Genomic DNA, 19507 nt, shown 5'->3' on the forward strand with positions numbered 1-19507 from the left:
AAATACAGTAAGAAGACAATTCAACTGTCAGTAAACTCCCTGTAATGCTAGGAAAATGAATGCTAGGATTATCAGAGATTTTTTAATTTTGTTTCATTTGTATTTGCCAAAAAAAAAAAAAACACCCATAGAATAAAAAATACCAGTTTCTCTTGTAATTTGCATTTTTTACCACCACATTTCCCCTTCTGGAAGGAATTAAAGGAAGATTACTAAGATGGGTCAAGTAACAACAGAGGACAACAAGTAAACAAAGAAGCCACAGAATGTAGGGCAATGCTTATCAGTTTAACCAAGTGAATCAGGAGACTATGAATGTAATGGAACAAATTTAGCCATAAATTCACTGAGCTGGGACAACCATCTGAAAACCTACACTGTGATCTATGGATTTACACAAAAGGTGCAGAACTGGAAAGTGGGAGAAGAAAACTGTATACCAAATTATTTCCTAGGAATTATCCAGTCTGATGATTTTTCCACTTTAAAACTTTCTGATCACCTGAGCCCAGGAGGTCAAGGTTGCAGTAAGCAGTGACTGTGCCACTGTACTCCAGCCTGGGCAACAGAGCAAGACCCTGTCTCAAAGAAAAAAACAAAAAGAAAAAGAAAAAACAACATTATAAAACTCAAATATTTCTACCACAAAATTAAATAAGAGATTAGAAAAGTGAAGTTTTTAGCCAGGTGCAGTGGCTCATACCTGTAGTCCCAGCATTTGGGAGGCTGAGGCAAGCGGAACACTTGAAGCCAGAAGTTCAAGACTGGCCTGGGCAACATGGCAAAAACCATCTCTACAAAAAATCAAAAATTAGCCAGGTATGATGGAACATGCCTGTAGTCCCAGTTACTGAGGAAGTTGAGGCAGAAGGAATGCTTGACCCCAGGAGGTTGAGGCTGCAGTGAGCTGTGTTCATGCCACTGCAAGCCAGCCTGGGTGATGAAGCAAGCACTCTTTTTTTTTTTTTTTTTTTTTTGAGATGGAGTCTCGCTCTGTCACCTAGGCTGTAGTGCAGTGGCACGATCTCAGCTCACTGCAACCTCTGCCTCTGGGTTCAAGTGATTCTCCTGCCTCAGCCTCCCGAGTAGCTGGGATTACAGGTGCCCGCCACCATACCTGGCTAACTTTTTGTATTTTTTAGTAGATAAAGGGTTTCACCATGTTGGCCAGGCTGGTCTCGAACTCCTGTCCTCAGGTGATCCGCCTGCCTCAGCCTCCCAAACTGCTGGGATTACAGGTGTGAGCCACCACGCCAGGCTGGCGAGTACTCCGTCTTAAAAAAAAAAAAAAACTACAATGGCTGATAAGGTAAGAATTAGAGACCAGTTACCATCTGAACTCTCAAGATACTTACATGTAAAAGAAGAGTTGTATGGTCATACTCACCTTTCTACCAGAAATACTTCTGGGATGTTTTTATTCATGTATGCATTCATTTATTCATTTATTTAACAAATATTTATTCAGTTCCTATGATGCCAGGCTGTTTCCAACCTCTGAAGGCACTTGATTCAAGCCACAAGCCCAATTTCCTCTACTGCCCACCCCCAACTCCAACAGCTCAAGGGCAGTTAGTTCAAATCTTTCTGAATAAGAAGATAAGGGTAGTAAACCACAAAGAACCACACTACGGCCTGCCAATAAAACTAGCTAATTTCATTCAACCTGTTAAAATCCAATCAGAAAGAAAAATAAACCAAACATAAGAAAATTTTTGCGATCTACAGAACTTTAGGGCTGGGCGCAGTGGCCCACGCCTGTAATCCCAGCACTTTGGGAGGCCAAGGCGGGCGGATCACCTGAGGTCAGGAGTTCGAGACCAGCCTCAACATGGAGAAACCCCATCTCTACTAAAAATACAAAATTAGCCGGGCATGGTGGTGCATGCCTGTAATTCCAGCTACTCTGGAGGCTGAGACAGGAGAATTGCTTGAACCCGGAAGGCGGAGGTTGTGGTGAGTGGAGATTGCGCCATTGCACTCCAGCCTGGGCAACAAGAGCGAAAGTCCGTCTCAAAAAAAAAAAGAACTTTAGGATTTGATAGCATATCTAATATTCCAAAATAAATACATATAATTTCTTAATTGACATGCCATCTGTCAATAAAAGATTTAAAAGGTAATCTGCTACAAGTCTTCATTCTTATCACTAACCTTTCTTCATGTGCTAACATGTACATTTCCTTCTTTACTGTGCCTTGACTTTCCAAATAAATTTGTGTGTGTGTCTGTAACAGAATGAGAGACAGACAAACAGAGACGCATTTGGGTTTTATTATAACGTATTCACACCTTAAGGAAGGAGAAAGGCTGAGGTAGCAAAGGAAAGGAAAAAAGTAAATGGAATTATAAAAGTGATGGCTTAAAAAAAACATACATATCACAAAACTGTTCTTCCTAGCAGCAATTCTCTAACACTCAAATTTGTCTATCTAGCTATCTAACTCTTAAGAAAGTAATTAAGCATTTTTAAATAAGTCTTAAAAAGCACGGTGGCTCATGCCCGTAATCCCAGTACTTTGGGAGGCCAAGGCGGGTGGATCACCTAAGGTAGGGAGTTCAAGACCAGCCTGGCCAACATGGCGAAACCCCGTCTCTACTAAAAATACAAAAAATTAACCAGGCATGGTGACAGGCGCCTGTAATCCCAGCTACTCGAGAAGCTGAGGCAGGAGAATCACTTGAACCTGGGGGTGGAGGTTGCAGTGAGCCAAGATCGCATCACTGCACTCCAGCCTGGGTGACAGAGCTAGACTCCATCTCAAAAAAAAAAAAAAAGCTTATATTTTAAATTAAAAAATAAAACAAAAGCTCATGTTCCCTTCTAAAATAAGACCTATGAGAAAAGTTCCACCATGGAACTAGTAAAATCAAAATAACTATTTTATGTTAGTTCAGTCTATGTAAATTGTACTGTAAAGTTTTTGTATTTAGCATTTTAGCCAAGATAAAAATTTAATAAATACAGGTTGAAATCTAGAATTGCACTTTTTTTTAATATATAGTTTTTTTTTTTTTAATTGAGATGGAGTCTCGCTCTATTGCCCAGGCTGGAGTGCAGTGGCACCATCTCGGCTCACTGCAAGTTCCGCCTCCCGGGTTCACGCCGTTCTCCTGCCTCAGCCTCCCGAGTAGCCAGGACTACAGGCACCCACCACCACACCCAGCTAATTTTTTATATTTTTATTAGAGACGGGATTTCATCGTGTTAGCCAGGATAGTCTTGATCTCCTGACCTCGTGATCCGCCCGCCTCGGCCTCCCAAAGTGCTGGGATTACAGGCGTGAGCCACCGCGCCCAGTTGAATTGCACGTTTTTAATGGTCATATTTTTATATCATGTTGTTAGGAGGAAAAAATAAAATACCTAAGAATGATAGTTAAAAATCCAAATGATTCTTTACTATCCTACTACTCTAATTTTAAATCAACATTAAATTTTTCCCAGTATATTTAATACATATTATAACTAAAACATTTTAAATGTATAAAAGTGCTTTTTTTTTGGTAGAGATGGGGGTCTCACTTTGTTGACCAGGCTGGTCTTGAACTCCTTAAAAGTACATTTTTTACAGTCACACAGGCAAATTCACCTAAATAATTTACAATGTAGAATTGAACATAGTCTGTTAAGGGTGCTTTCAGGTCATCAGAATCTGAAAATTATACATTAAAATAGCAGTCCCCAACCTTTATGGCACTAGGGACCAGTTTCACAAAAGACAATTTTTCCACAGAACGGGGGTCAGAGGTGGGTGGATGGTTTCAAGATGAAACTGTTCCACCTCAGCGGGAGATGAACGGCAGGCAAGCGAGCATTACCACCTGAGCTTCACCTCCTGTCAGATCAGTGGTAGCATTAGATTCTCATAGGAGCACAAAGGAGGGATCTGGGTTGCTTGCTCCTTATGAGAATATGTACATAGACCTGAGGTACATAGACCTGAGGTACTACAGACTTGGTCAACTTTTGGCCTCCTTCTTAACCATCAGAGGATGCTAAAACATGGTCTGAAACAGAATGTAGACAAATCTGACAAAATCTGTCAATCTGGTAAGATGGTTAAAATAAAGGGAAGGAAGTAGACTGCTATCCCAACTGTTTCCAAACCAATCACTGAAATCTCCAATACACAAATCAAAGCCATCATGCTAATTTTTGTCATTCCATAAAGGGTAGCAAACGTACCATAAAAACAAAACAGAGATCTACTCATGTTGTGGTGACTGAAAACAAAGATTTTACAGGCCTTTTTACTTGACACAGGATGCCAAGGAAGCTTCTAACTGCAGAAGAACAGAATACAGATCCCAAGGAAAAGCAACAGCCCAAGGGGCAAGGAAGTGAGGGGGAAGGCAGTAAAGAAAATGATACTCGTGCGATAGGTGAAAGGAGAGAAAGGGAATCTGTGGAAACTTCCACCTTCTGCTAAAGAACAGAAAAAAATCATAGGATATTCCATTCGACCAACAATATACCCTCTGGGGCCAGGGAGTAGAGAAGCTAGCTGAAAACAGCCTCATTAGAGTCAAAATTTGACATGTCTCAGGCAAAATCATTCTTAAAGTTTTGTTCCATATCAAGTTTTCATGTCTTCAGATTTACATAAGAAGGGTTTTCCTCATCTATAACCAATTAATTGGCATTTCCAGCTAGAAATAAGAACTTAAATTACACAGTGGTCCCAATGATTAAAAGCTCCCAGGATTGTAAACAGACTTTGATTTGCAATTAAGAATATTTTACTCCTACTCCAGTAATGACAAGAGCAAAACAAAAATACATCAAGTCTTTCTCAAAGCCAATACAGTAAGTACTGAAGAAATTGTGCTAATGCCTTAAAGGTTACTGAAAATAAGGTACTTACAGAAGTATGCATATAAATCTCTACTAGAAAGGATAAAAGTGCCAGTCAGCAAGTTCATTCAGGCCAGATGTGGTGGCTCACCTGTAATCCCAGCACTTTGGGGGACTGAGGCGGGCAGACCACTTAGTCCAGTCAGGAGCTCGAAAACAGCTGGGCCAACATGGCAAAACCCCGTCTCTACTAAAAACACAAAAATTAGCCAGGCATGGTGGCAGGCACCTGTAATCCCAGCTACTCTGCAGGCTGAGACAGGAGAATCGCTTGAACCTGGGAGACAGAGGTGGCAGTGAGCTGAGATCGCACCACTGCACTCCAGCCTGGGCGACAGAGTGAGTCTCTGTATCCAAAAAAAAAAACAGGCCAGGCGCGGTGGCTCACACCTGTAATCCCAGCACTGTGAGAGGCCGAGGCAGGCAGATCACCTGAGGTCAGGAGCTCGAGACCAGCCTGGCCAACATGGGGAAACCCTGTCTCTACTAAAAATACAAAAAATTGCCGGGTGTCCTGGTGAGCGGCTGTAATACCAGCTACCCAGGAGGCTGAGGCAGGAGAATCGCTTGAACCCAGGAGGCAGAGGTTGCAGTTAGCAGAGATCACACAACTTCACTACAGCCTGGGTGACAGAGCAAGACTCCGTCTCAAAAAAAAAAAAAAAAAAGTGCATTCGCCTTATTGAAAACTCTTCTTATAATATCAAACCCAAATCAGCATCCATCATCATAGATTATTAGACTTCTATCTCAAATACACAAGAAAAAAATAATAAAGTCAAACCCTATGTATAAACCCATGGTGACCTCAGGCAATTTTAAATCCAAAATTATTCAAAATTATTTGAAGGGATAAAGAATCAAATTGCCAGCACCCTCAAAATAGAACAGTACAGGACACACTGGATCCCATTATTGAGCATGGTACTACTACATTCAACACACCATGGATATTATTTCATCAATTTCATATAAACTTTGGCAGCAGACTTTAAGTTCCTAGAAAATTGTTCCCCAAAGTTTTGTAACCTTAATTAAAGTATAATAATTCCAAGAAACAAATCACAGAGAGGCAAAGAAAACAAACATATAGAGGCCATGATGTCATTAGTTAAAATGACATATGAAAAAATGCAAGAATGTTGATAATGATTAAAGCTGGCTGATGAGTTCATAGGTTTTCTTTTCGCTTTTGTGTATGTCTAAAATTTTCTATGAGAAACAGAATATCAAATTTTTTTTTTTTGAGACACAGTCTCGCTCTGTCACCAGGCTGGAGTGCAGTGGTGCAATCTCGGCTCACTGCAACCTCTGTCTCCCGGGTTCAAGCTATTCTCTTGCCTCAGTCTCCCGAGTAGCTGGAACTACAGCTGCGTACCACCATGCCCAGCTAATTTTTGTATTTTCAGTAGAGACAGGGTTTTCCCATGTTGGCCAGGATGGTCTCGATCTCTTGACCTTGTGATCCACCCACCTGGGCCTCCCAAAGTGCTGGGATTACAGGTGTGAACCACCGTGCCCAGCCATCAGATTTTATGAACAGTATATCAAACTCACCAAAATGAGTTTTTATTGGCTGTTTATAAATTGGGGGTGGGGGGGACACGGTAATTATCATTAATTAAGTGCCTATAAAGTGTTTGTTTTTTTGTTGTTGTTTTTTTGTTTTGAGACAGAGTCTCACTCTGTCACCCAGGCTGGAGTACAATGGCACAATCTGGGATCACTGGAACCTCTGCCTCCAGGGTTTAAGCAATTCTCCTGCCTCAGCCTCCCAAGTAGCTAGGACTACAGGCACGCACCACCACCCCGCCTCACTAATTTCTGTATTGTTAGTAGAGATGGGGTTTCGCCATGTTGGCCAGGCTGGTCTCAAACTCCCGATCTGAAGTGATCCACCCACCACGGCCTCCCAAAGAGCTGAAATTACAGGTGCGAGCCACAGCCCCCAAGTAGGTGTTTTAATATATAAGAACTCTGTGGCCAGGCATGGTGGTTCACACCTGTAATCCCAGCACTTTGGGAGGCCGAGGCAGGCAGATCACGAGGTCAGGTGTTCGAGACCAGCCTGGCCAATATGGTGAAACCTCGACTCTACTAAAAATACAAAAAGTAGCCAGGCATGGTGACACACACCTGTAGTCCCAGCTACTCAGGAGGCTGAGGTGAGAGAATCGCTTGAACCCGGAAGGCACAGGCTGCAGTGAGCCGAGATCACGCCACTGCACTCCAGCCCGGGCGACAGAGCGAGACTCCATCTCAAAAAAAAGAACTCTATGAGATAGAATCAGCCCAATTTTACATAAAAGAAAATTAAGAATCAAGAGGGTAAACTTAATCTTCCTCAAGATCATATAGGAGCTGAACTGAGACCCACAGCCAAAGAAAGAAAGAAGGAAATAAAAAAGGAAGACAATGACTGGTAAAGGGGGTAAAAAAAAAAACCTTTTTGGCACTAATATACAAAAGAAACAATCAGAGAAATAAGCCAGGCATGCATGGTGGCTCATGCCTGTAATCACAGAACTTTGGAAGGCTAAGGTGGGATAATGGCTTAAGGCCAGGAGTTCGAGACCAGCCTGGGCAACATAGCAAGACCCCCATCTCTATGAAAAAAAATTTTTAATTAGAATTTAATTTTTTTTAATTAGAGAAATACAATTTCCAGAAAATATCACTAGGTAAAATATTCTTATAGAAGTATGCAATAACAAATATTCAAGCAAAATGAAAGAAAAAATAGAACTGTATTTAGAAATCTACACTGTAAGGGTGGATATCTTGAGGATTAGAATCCAGAGGAGAAATCCCATTTCAGCCATGATGTTAACCAGTTGTGTGTGTGTATATATTTACATATATATGTAAATTCACATATACATATCCATATCAAAACTTCCCTAAACCTGAATTTAACATACAACTTAGAATAGATTAAGAAAATGTTCTAAAAAGTGTCATTACATATTTAACGTGGTAGTCTATATTTATCATCCAGAAGAATTTAGCATATAATCCTCATATTTGAAGTTCACTGTACAAATACATTACTCCAACACTCCAGTGTTAAGGCAAGCATCTAAAAGTAATATTTTGCTGGGTATCGTGACTCATGCCTGTAATCCCAGCACTTTAGGAGACCAAAGTGGGAGAACTGCTTGAGGCCAGGAGTTTCAGACCAGCCTAGGCAAGACAACAAAACCCCGTCTCTACAAAAAAAAACAAAACAAAAGAATTAGCCAGGTGTGGTGGCATGTGCCTATAGTCCCAGCTACTTGGGAGGCTGAGGTTGGAGGATCACTTGAGCCCAGGAGGTTGAGGCTACAGTGAACTGGGATCACACCAGTGTACTTCAGCCTGGGTGACAGAGCAAGACCCTATCACATGGCCAGGCACAGTAGCTCATGCCTATAATATCAGCATTTTAGGTGGCCGAGGTGGGCGGATCACTTGAGGCCAGGAGTTGAGACCAGCCTGGCCAACACGGCAAAACTCTGTCTATTACTAAAATACAAAAAGTAGCTGGGCATGGTGGTGCACACCTGTAATCCTAGCTACTCAGGAGGCTGAGAGGCACAAGAATCACTTGAACCAGGGAAGCGCTGAACCAGGGAGGCGCTGAACCTCGGACAGGGAGGTTGCACTGAGCTGAGATTGTGCCACAGCATTCCAACCTGAGTGACAAAGTGAGACTCTGTCTCCAAAAAAAAAAAAAAAAAGAAGACGAAGAAGAAAAAGAGGAGGAAGAGGAGGATGAAGAGGAGGAAGAGGAAGCGTAAGAAGAAGAAACAACAACACAATTAAACACCACTACAAACTTACTAGAATGACTAAAATTTAAAACACTGATAATACCAAGTGCTGACAAGGATGGAGAACAACTACAGCAACTACATTACTGGTAGGAATGCAGCATGCTACAGCCACTTTGGAAAACAGTTTGACAGTTCTTATGAAGTTAAACATACATTTACCATACCAAGCACACTCTTCAGTATTCACCCAGGAGAAAGGAAAACATGTCCACCAAAGGCCTATAGGCAAAGGTTTGGGGCAACTTACCCAAAGTAACTGGATAAACAAATTGTAATTACATCCATAGAATAGAATACTTCTCAGCAAAAATTAAAAAAGAAACAAGCAACTTAATTATGCAACGACATAGAGGAATCTCAAATGCAATTTGCTGAGTACAAGAAGCTAGTCACGAAAGGCTACTTGCTACATGATTCCATTTTTATTCAACATTCTGGAAAACAAAGTGACAGGGACAGAAATTAGATCAGTGGTTGCCAGGGGATAGGGATGGGGAAGAGAGAAATGACTACAAAGGGGTAAAAGGGAACTTTTTGAGGTGGGGGAAATATCTCATATACCAAATGTGATGGTTGTTATATGACCGTATACATCAATCTACACAACTCAAAAGGGTGAATTTTATTCTATGTAAATCATACCTTAATAAACCTGACTTTTAAGATGACAAAGATGTAATCTCTGCCTTCAAGCTCATGATCTAATGAGAGAAATATATATAAACACATAATTTGAACAAGGTAAATGCTATAGTAAGTTATGAACAAAGTTCTGTGGTAGAATGGAGGAGGAATAAAGTCTGTCTCAGAGTGAGGCAAAGGATTCTCAGAGAAAATAACATGTAAGCTATGTCTTAAAAGTAACAAGGCTGGGCGCAGTGGCTCATGCCTGTAATCACAGCACTTTGGGAGGCCAAGGCAGGTACAATCACTGAGGTCAGGAGTTCGAGACCAGCCTAGCCAACATGGCGAAACCCAGTCTCTACTAAAAATACAAAAATTAGCTGGACACAGTAGCGTGCGCCTGTAGGCCCAGCTACTCGTGAGGCTGAGGCTAGAAAATCGCTTGAACTCGGGAGGCAGGGGTTGCAGTGAGCCGAGACTACACCACTGCACTCCAGACTGGGCAACAGAGCGAGACTCCGTCTCAAAAAAAAAAAAAAGGTAACGAGCATGATGATGACAGACCAAGAAGAAAAGGACCCAAGCAGAGAGAACAGTTGAGAGAAAAAACACAGAGGTATGTAAAGGCAAGATTAGCCATGTGAGAGACAGTAAACGAAGTGTAGGATGAGTTAGAGCATCAGAGGTCATGCCATACATGATAAGATTTGTGTTTTAGAAAGATAAGTATAAATATCATGTGGGAAAATATATGGAGGTATAGAATGACTGGCAGAGAACAAGAACAGTTTTGAAGGGTGTTACAATAATCCTAGAAAGAGATACCTGGGGTCTGAATTAAGGTTCAATTAAAAGGCTATTTAGTGAAAGACTACTTATGGGAATAAGGAAGAAAAGACAAGTTAAGGTTAATTGAAATTTCTGCAAAGAACAAGTGATCATCAATAAGATGAGAAACATAAAAGGAAATACAGATTTGTTTGATAATCCAAGTTGGGGGGAGAATCATCTGGCTTCCATTTTCCTATCTACTAACTCTCTTCCTTGTAGGCATGCCTTCTCTAACTAAAACTGATATTTATTATGACTTATCTACTTGAACTATTTTATAAAATAACTATAAGAAGTAAAGGCAACACAGCAAAACCTCAGCAAAGTTTTTACAGTATCTTAGATATAGCAGAATAGTTATTTTAAAGGTAAAAATAAGGCCGGGTGCAGTGGCTCACACCTATAATCCACGCACTTTGGGAAGCCAAGGCAGGAGGATTGTTTGAGCCCAGGATATCAAGACCCTAGCCTGGGCAACATAGCAAGACTCCATCTCTACAAAAAAATAAAATTTAAAGAAATTAAAAATAAGTTTTAAAAAAGAAAACATTGGGCAGTTTGGCTAGAGCATAATTATTAGAACAGATAATTAGATTTCCTAGTTTTTCAAAAATTTGAATTGTAATAAAAGGAAATTTCAATGTTCTATTTCAATTTTCAGCAGCAAATAAATGTGTACAAAAAGGAACTTAAAGAATAAAAAATAAATGAAAATAGGAGAGGAAAGAATAAATTTAAATACTGCATCGCCAACTTATGTAATAGGTTCCAAATTTGTCTTTAAAAAGCAATTATGTGATGGCTAGGCATAGTAGGCTCACACCTGTAACCCCAGCACGTTGGGAGGCCAAGGCAGGTGGATCACCTGAGGTCAGGAGTTCAAGACCAGCCTGACCAACATGATAAAACCTCATTGTATTAGTCCATTTTCATGCTATTGATAAAGACATACAAAAGACTGGGAAGAAAAAGAAGTTTAATTGGACTTACAGTTCCACATGGCTGGGGAGGCCTCAGGATCATGGAGGGAAGCAAAAGGCATTTCTTACATGGTGGTGGCAAGAGAAAAAGAGGAAGATGCAAAAGCAGAAACCCCTGATAAAACCATCAGATCTCATGAGACTTATTCACTACCACGAGAACAGTATGGGGGAAACTGCCCCCATGACTCAAATTATCTCACACCGGGTCCCTCCCACAACACATGGGAATTATGGGAGTACAATTCAAGATGAGATTTGGGTGGGGACACAGAGCAAAACCATATCACCCATCCCTACTAAAAATACAAAAATTAGCCTGGCGTGGTGGCAGGCACCTGTAATCCCAGATACTCAGTAGGCTAAGGCAGGAGAATTGCCTGAACCTGGGAGGCAGAGGTTGCAGTGAGCCGAGATCATACCACTGCACTCCAGCCTGGGCGACAGAGCAAGACTCTGTCTCAAAAAAAAAAAAAAAAAATCAATTATGTGAAATTTAGAATATATTGCCCCAAAGAAACAATGTGACACTAAAGCATAGCTAAACAATACTAGGGTATTACACCAACCTGCTGAATAACCAACCCCACCACCATCACCACCACCACCACCACTACCACTACCACTACCAAAGTACAGTGTTGAGGAGAACAGGGTGCTCTGAGGCTGCCTGAGGTTCAACATCTTTTGTGACCTCGACTGGGGTAATTAATTCTACAAGTCTAATATTCCTCACCTTTAAAATGGAGATGATAAAATCACCTGCTCCACACGAGTTACTGTGAAAATTAAAAGAGGGAACCTAAAGCACTTAGCACAGTCATCCATCCAACATGTATTTATTAAGCACCTACTACATGTTAGGTACAAGGCCCCAAGGCCCTGGCAATGAAACAGTAAACAAAAAAAGTAAGTCCCTACTTTTATGGAGTGTGTATTCTAATAAAAGAAAACACGCAATAAAAAAAATCTGATGGAGTTAATGCTATGAAAATAAAGCAGGATATAAGAGATAAAGAGTAACAAGGAGAAGGATACTATTTTGGTAGTGGGGAAAGGTTCTCTAATAAGGCCACAAATTTTAACAAAGACCATAAGAGAATGAAGAAGAGGGTCATACAGAGAACTGGGGGAAGAAATCAGATCCATTTCTGGCAATATGGTAGACTAGATGCCCAGAAAAGTACTTGTGATTCAGAATTTCTTAAAATGCTGAATATTAAAACAAAAATAGTATTTTTCATGAGTGGCTGAGCTGAAAGAAAGAAAAAACAACAAAGCATTGGTGAGCACTGAAACCAGCCTCTCCCCTGGGAGCATCCATCAATTCCCCAGTGGCTTAGAAGTCAGTTTAAGGGACTGGTGAGAAGGACATAAAGGTTGGGGCCTAAACAAGGTGGGAAATCTGAAAAGCAACACTCAGTGGATGAACTGCAGAGGAGGGTAAACAACATGCTAAACAGAGATCACAGTTGGCATGTTTGCCTTTCCCAGTCTCGGTGGAAGAGAAAAAACGAAGTCACCCTTCGCTCACTCCAGTTTAAGGACAAAATTCATACTACCTATGTGGTCTAGAAAAACTCAGACTAAAAATTCAGTTTCGAGAGATTCTGGGTTGGAAGAGACTAGAGCATGACAGAAGCAAACACCAATCCAGCCAAGAGGAGTACACTAAACCCAAGCCTTCAGTGATATTCACAAATAAAAATCCATGGAAGATTATCTCACAATTAAAAAGAAATTCACAAAATAATGAAAAAAGCCCCCAAGAATCAGCAGAACAAGCCTTTCAGGAACAGAAGAAACGATGAGGAACATGAAAATAATCAGATATATAATATAAAAATGTTAATGTTTAAGGAAATAAAAGAGATATAGAAAGTATGACTGAGGAAAAGAAACTGTAAAAAACATGAATATGAAAAAATCAAACAATTGTAATGTTTCTGGATAGAAACATTACAATTGCTTATTGATAGTCATACAATAATTGGATATTTGAGAGGAGATCATTCTAGGCAAAGGAAAAAATAAGTTCAAAGGCCCTAAGGTAAGACTGTGCTTGGCTTGCTTTAGGAAGTACAAAAGGGCCATGGCATCCAGAGTTGAGTAAACAAGGAAGAAAAGTGGGAAGAAATGACGACCAAGAACTGGTACTTAATAGGTCACAAAATACCTCAATAAATATTATTTATTATCCCATAATTTCTATTGGAAAAATTTGGATATTAGAAATAATAATTTCTTCTTTACCATTTCTGCATTAAATATAGAAGCCAGAGCAGAGCTACAGAGGATCTCAAGTAGGTTCAGAAGGAAATAAGAAAATATTCCTTTTCTATGAAGTAGGGAGAGTCTTCAGTAGAGGTCCCAGTGCCAAGGAAGACATCTGGGTCTTGTGTGAGCAAGGTAGAAATGAAGTGATTCAGAAGATACATTTCTGGAAATAATAATGATCAACAACAACCAAAAAAAAAAAAAAAAAGTCAAGATGGAATTACCATTTCAAAGTAGGAGACATTTCAAACTTGGGCATTAATTGGTAATCAGGACATCCTCAGAGTACTCAAAAATTTCACGGTTCAAGTGAACGTTTACATCCTATGACAATGAGAATTTAGCATAAATGAAACTCCCAAAGATATGCCAAACTTTTTAACTATCTGGTTTAATTCTCAACTTTTTCTAAATATTTTCAAAAGACACTAACAAGTAGCAAAATAGTACTACTCTGATTTTTCTTTTCTTCCATATTCCTACCCTCAGACTAAGGTATTGCCTAAAAAAGCCATGAACAAAACACAAGTAATACAGGTTAAGAATAATATTCATAAGCCACAACTAGAGGTATAATCAATCCCTAAATATTAAAGAGTTGGTCATTCCATTTTTTCCTGATTAGCAAAATAACAGAAAATTGACTGGTGGATATCTTAAATACATATAAACTACCATGCACCATTTGACACATGAAGAAATAGATGCAAAGAATCAAAGTATGCATTGTTAAATCAATGATAAAAGTTTTAAAATAATTCATTTTCTCAAAGCTTATCACTCTTAACAATGTTTCTAATTATCATAACCTAATACAATTCCTGACAAATTTAATCAAATTAGGTTCTAATACAAGAACACAACTTATATTAATAATCACACAGTATAACATGGTACACACAAAATTCAAAATCAAACAACCTGAGTCCAAATGCCATCTTACTAACTATGACACTTGAGCATCATTGACCACTCCAATCCTGTTTTCATGCTATAAATCAAGTTTAATAAAGTACTGCCCCATGGAGTTGTTACATGGAAAAAATAAAATAATCCCGTAAAACACTTATGTTTATCAGCAGACTCAGATATACACCCTGACTTACATCTAGGTTCCATTCTATTATAACTGGATCATAAAGCAAAGCATTAATTTCTTTTTTTATTTTTATTTTATTTTAATTTAAGTTCAGGATACATGTGGCATTAATTTCAGTCTTTCCTTCTGAAGCACCACTTAAATAACTTGACGTGACTGTTCTCACACAGTGCATTCAGCACTATAGAATAAAGTCAGTGTCTAACAATAAAAACTAGAAAGATATTTGTGCAATATGTTATGCTAAATGTAGAACTTGGCTAAATTGAAAATTTTCTGAAATACTTTATGTAAATAAAGAAACAGAGCAGTCCCTACAAATAGAAATGACTCCTGAAATTTTTATGTCAAAAGTCATTGTGTCAATTTATGTGTAATATTCAAGTGACTACCAAATGGTCATCATTTGACTCACTCAAACTATTGTGTTTCAAAAGTTCATCCCCATGCAGATAAACATGTTAAAGATAGTATAATTCACTAAAAATAGTCAAGTTCTCTATTGATACAAATGGGATTTCTATGCAGGTTACTTGTATTCAATCTAAATGACTAAGAACTTATAAAGACTTAAGACGATCCTGCAAGAAAGATGCCTAAGGGGAAAAAAAAAGAATTAAGATAAAGTAGTATTTTGCTCTAGGTTGTTTATTTTAAGTGTGTAGCGGTTGGGGAAAAAAACATGACTCCTTTATATTATCCTAAAACATTCTACAATTCTTTTTTTTTTTAATAATCCTTTTTGAGACAGAGTCTCTCTCTGTCGCCCAGGCTGGAGTGCAGTGGCGCAATCTTGGCTTACTGCAACCTCCGTCTCCCGGGTTCAAGCGATTCCCATGCCTGAGCCTCCCGAGTAGCTGGGATTACAGGCGCACACCACCACGCCCAGTTAATTTTTGTATTTTTAGTAGAGACAGGGTTTCATCACGTTGGCCAGGCTGGTCTCCGACTCCTGACCTCAAGTGATCCGCCCACCTCGGCTTCCCAAAGTGCTAGGATTACAAGCGTGAGCCACTGCACCTGGCCAAACAGTCTATAATTGTAAAAGCTATGAAAACTCTTTTTTTTTTCTTTTTTAAGAGATAGGGTCTCGGCCGGGCACGGTGGCTCATACCTGTAATCCCAGCACTTTGGGAGGCCAAGGCAGGTGGATCACATGAGGTTGGGAGTTCGGGACTGGCCTGACCAAGATGGAGAAACCCCGTCTCTACTAAAAAAATACAAAATTAGCCAGGCTTGGTGGTGCATGACTGTAATCCCAGCTACTTGGGAGGCTGAGGCAGGAGAATCGTTTGAACCCAGGGGGCGGAGGTTGCAGTGAGCCGAGATCACGCCACTGCACTCCAGCCTGGGTAACGAGAACGAAACTCCGTCTCAAAAAAAAAAAAAAAAGAGAGATAGGGTCTCATTCTGTCGCCCAGGATAGAGTACAGTGGCATAATCATAGTTCGCTACAGTCTCAAACTCCTGGGCTCACGTGATCCTGCCACCTCACCATCTCCAGTGGGTAGGACTACAGGCACACACTACCACGTAGACCTGATTTTTTTGTTTTTTTGTAGATATAGGATCTCACTATGTTGCCCTGGGTGGTCTTGAACTCCTGGCCTCAAGCAGTCCTCCCACCTGAGCCTCCCAAAGTGTCGGGACTATAGGCATGAGCAACCGCACCCGGCAGGAAAATTCACTTAATTACTAAAATTTTAAAACACCACCTCCACACATAAAATCCCCCATGAATAAATCTATATTTTGTTTTGGTAATACAAGGTTGCTTTCTAAGATAACAATTGCTCATCTGCCTGTATGTATAAATACATGTAAGCATTTGGGAAAGAAGAAAAATGACTAATTTTATCTTCCTACAATTTCTTCAGTGATCTACACTAGAACTCCATTATCTGAAATTATCTAAGGTATTCCTAAGCAGAAAAATAAGTTGGTCAATTGTAGCCTAAGTTGGTCCTATATTTATTCAATGGCTATCACACATTCATCACTTCGTTATACCTTAGACTTCCAGCAGATAATGAATATAACCTTTAAATCCATCACTTTACAAATGCCTACAAATATTAGGTAAATATAACAAAAAATACTTTTCAATGTAGAACTGAGCTTGAGTTTGCAAAGAAAGAAAGAAAGGAAAATCCCCGAGCCTAAAGTGAAGAAGAAACAGAAAAATAAGTATCTGAACTTCCATTACAACTGCTGAAGAGGCAAGAAAGAGGAAGCTAGTACTAGGGGGCTTGAATTTTATTTCCTTTTTAGAAACAAACAAAAAAAAAGTATTCACTCAAGATGGGGAAGTAGAGATAAAATCTCTATATAAATATGGGATCCTCAAAAGGTTGACCCTCAGGAAAAAGTAGATTCTTCCTCTCCCCCACAAAAAAACTTCCCTGGCACAGGAAATTACAAATAATTAGTCTTTGGCTGGGCTGCTGATTTCCTTTTTTTTTTTAATTCTATAGAGATAAGGTCTATGTTGCCCAGGCTGGTCTTGAACTCCTGGGCTCAAATGATCTTCCTGCCTCTGTCTCCCAAAGTCCTGGGATTACATGCATGAGCCACCGTGCCTGGTCACTACTGATTATTTTTAAGTTTCCTCTAAGATAGTAAAATTCTGGGATTTCCTCTAAGATAGTAAAATTCTGCTATTCACATAGGAAGTCCAAATTTACACTACTGGCATGAACAACAAACCCCAGAATGACAAATTTAAAAAACAAAACAAAAAAAAAAACAATTTCAGGTATAATATACCCCCTGAGGCTCCAGGCAAACTTAATCCATACGTTCTGGTAATAAACATTTCCTAAGCACATACTATGTGTCAAGTACTCTTCTAGGGGCTAGGGATGCAATAAGCAAAACAGACAAAAATCTCTACTCTTATGAAACATAAACAGTAGTCCCTCTTGATCTACAGGGTATACATTGCAAGACCCCTAGTGGATACCTAAAACCACAGATAATACCAAATGCTATATACACTATGTTTTTTTGTATACACACATACCTATGATAAAGTTTAATTTATAAATTAGGCACAGTAAGAGATTAACAACAATAACTAGTAATAAAATAGAACAGTTAGAACAATACACAGTTTCCAATTTTTGACAGTTTGACTTACAATTTTTCAACTTTATGATGGTGTGAAAGCAATAAGCATTCAGCACAAACCTCAATTTAACAATGGAGTTACATCCCAATAAACTCATTGTAAGTTGAAAAGTCAAAACTACCATAAATCAACAAGTATTTTCAACTTACAATATTTTCAGCTTTAGATGTAAGTGCATCAAGTCAAGGAGCATCTGTGTAATTCACAATTACATGGATAGAAGATTCGTACATACTGCAAACCTTAGCAACCTCAGCACATGATTTTTTTTCCTTGTAAGTCAAGAACTTCCACCTATTCACTTAAAAAAAGTGCTTTACAATGTCTCTGTGTCACATCCAAATTGCCAACATCACTACTCTTGTCCCGAACATTATTAAGTAAAATAAGGGTTACTTAAACACTGCAATACCATGACAGTCAATCTGATCGTGGAGAGGGTAGTCACTTAGTAAAGTGACTAAAGGACAGGTAGCATATACGTAGAGCATGGATACGCTGGACAAAGGGATGATTTGCATCCTAGTCAGGATGGAGCAGAATGCTTGAGATTTCATCACACTACTCAAGAGCTGCACACAATTTAAAACTTAGGAACTGTCAAGGGCTTCAAGATGGCTGACTAGAGGCATCTCCTACTTGCCTCCTCCACTAGGAATAACCAAAATAGTGAGTAATCACACCTTGAATAGATAATCCAAGAAAGAACACTGGAATTCAATAGAAAAATGACAAGAAACACCTAAAGAAAGGAAGGAGAGGGAAACAAGACAGCCTGCTCGGCTGGGAGCCGAGAGACAATCCCCACTGCGGGGAAACAGTAAGTGGGAGACTCCCTGTGGTCCACATTCCCACTGTGGACTCCTGCAATTCTAGCCATTGGGGAGCCCCTAGGACCTCATGGGCTCTGAAACTAACATAAGGATCTGTCTGGAAATGGTGCAACAGCACCACTCCACTGAGGAAAATTGCACTGGGTCCCATAATCCCCCTAAGTCCTAAGCAGCTACAACAAGGCACCATTTTGACAACCCAGCCCACAACAGACTGAGCACTATCCTGGGGCCCAGCAGCTGGTGCACAGACAGAAGTAAGAAACAGGCTGCCACCACCAGGACTGAGGCACAAGCGGGGCATGTGTCCCCGACCGCCGACCTAGGCTGCCACCATTAAAGGCAGCCTCATGTTCCCCAGTAGCAGCAGCACAGCACAGCCACTGCTGCCCCTCACCCAATCATTCCAGGGCCTGGGAACCACCCTGTCCCTTCTTACCACAGTAGGTGTCTGCACATATTGTTGGGGGGCCTGATGACATGCCAGCCCAGCTTAACCAGGTCCCCATGCCAAAGCGTGCAGACTAGGGGCCTGGGGATTGTCTCCCTCAGCCCACTACCATTGGCACCTGAACACAACACCTATCCTGAGGATAGGGCTACCCCCCACCTGCCGCTACCACCACAGCTGGCATCTACCTGCATGAACAACCTGCAAATCTAGAGACTGGCAGGCCTAGACCATCACACCCACCGCCAATATACACACACACCACTCAGGATCCAGTGGGTCATCTCTGCCTTTACCCATACTATGCTGGCTACCCAGAAGACTGAGAGTGCACCCACCCACACAGCCTATCACTGCCACTACCAGAATCACAGCAATCCATCTGGAAGCCCAGGAATTGGTTCACCTCAACCCACTGATACTGGTGCCAGTGTATGCTGCCCTAGAGCCCAAGGACAGGCATTCTCAGCCCACTGCTGTCACCACTGAGGCCTGAAAAGTGCCAAACATGGCACCTCAGTCCCCAGCAAAACTTCACCACAGCCTCCATTAATAGTCCGAACCCTAAGGCCCCCAAAAAATCACAGACGCCACTGACACTGTTTATACC

The 19507-nt window shown here is 40.4% G+C and overlaps 1 protein-coding gene across 9 annotated transcripts in view, besides 1 other annotated feature; it reads right to left on the reverse strand.

The window, feature by feature from the left end:
* Positions 1–19507, reverse strand: part of LRBA (LPS responsive beige-like anchor protein) — a 751293-nt gene that overhangs the window by 718060 nt on the left and 13726 nt on the right. The gene's annotated exons all lie outside the window — the stretch shown is intronic.
* Positions 5185–5699: an enhancer, noted in NCBI's record as "H3K27ac-H3K4me1 hESC enhancer chr4:151908831-151909345 (GRCh37/hg19 assembly coordinates)". NCBI's record gives its function as "activates a minimal SCP1, AML or CMV promoter by ChIP-STARR-seq in naive H9 embryonic stem cells {active_cell/tissue: H9 hESC(naive)}" and the evidence as "EXISTENCE:reporter gene assay evidence [ECO:0000049][PMID:30033119]".

Source organism: Homo sapiens, chromosome 4 (genome assembly GCF_000001405.40).
Source record: "Homo sapiens chromosome 4, GRCh38.p14 Primary Assembly".
Taxonomy (NCBI): Eukaryota; Metazoa; Chordata; class Mammalia; order Primates; family Hominidae; genus Homo; species Homo sapiens.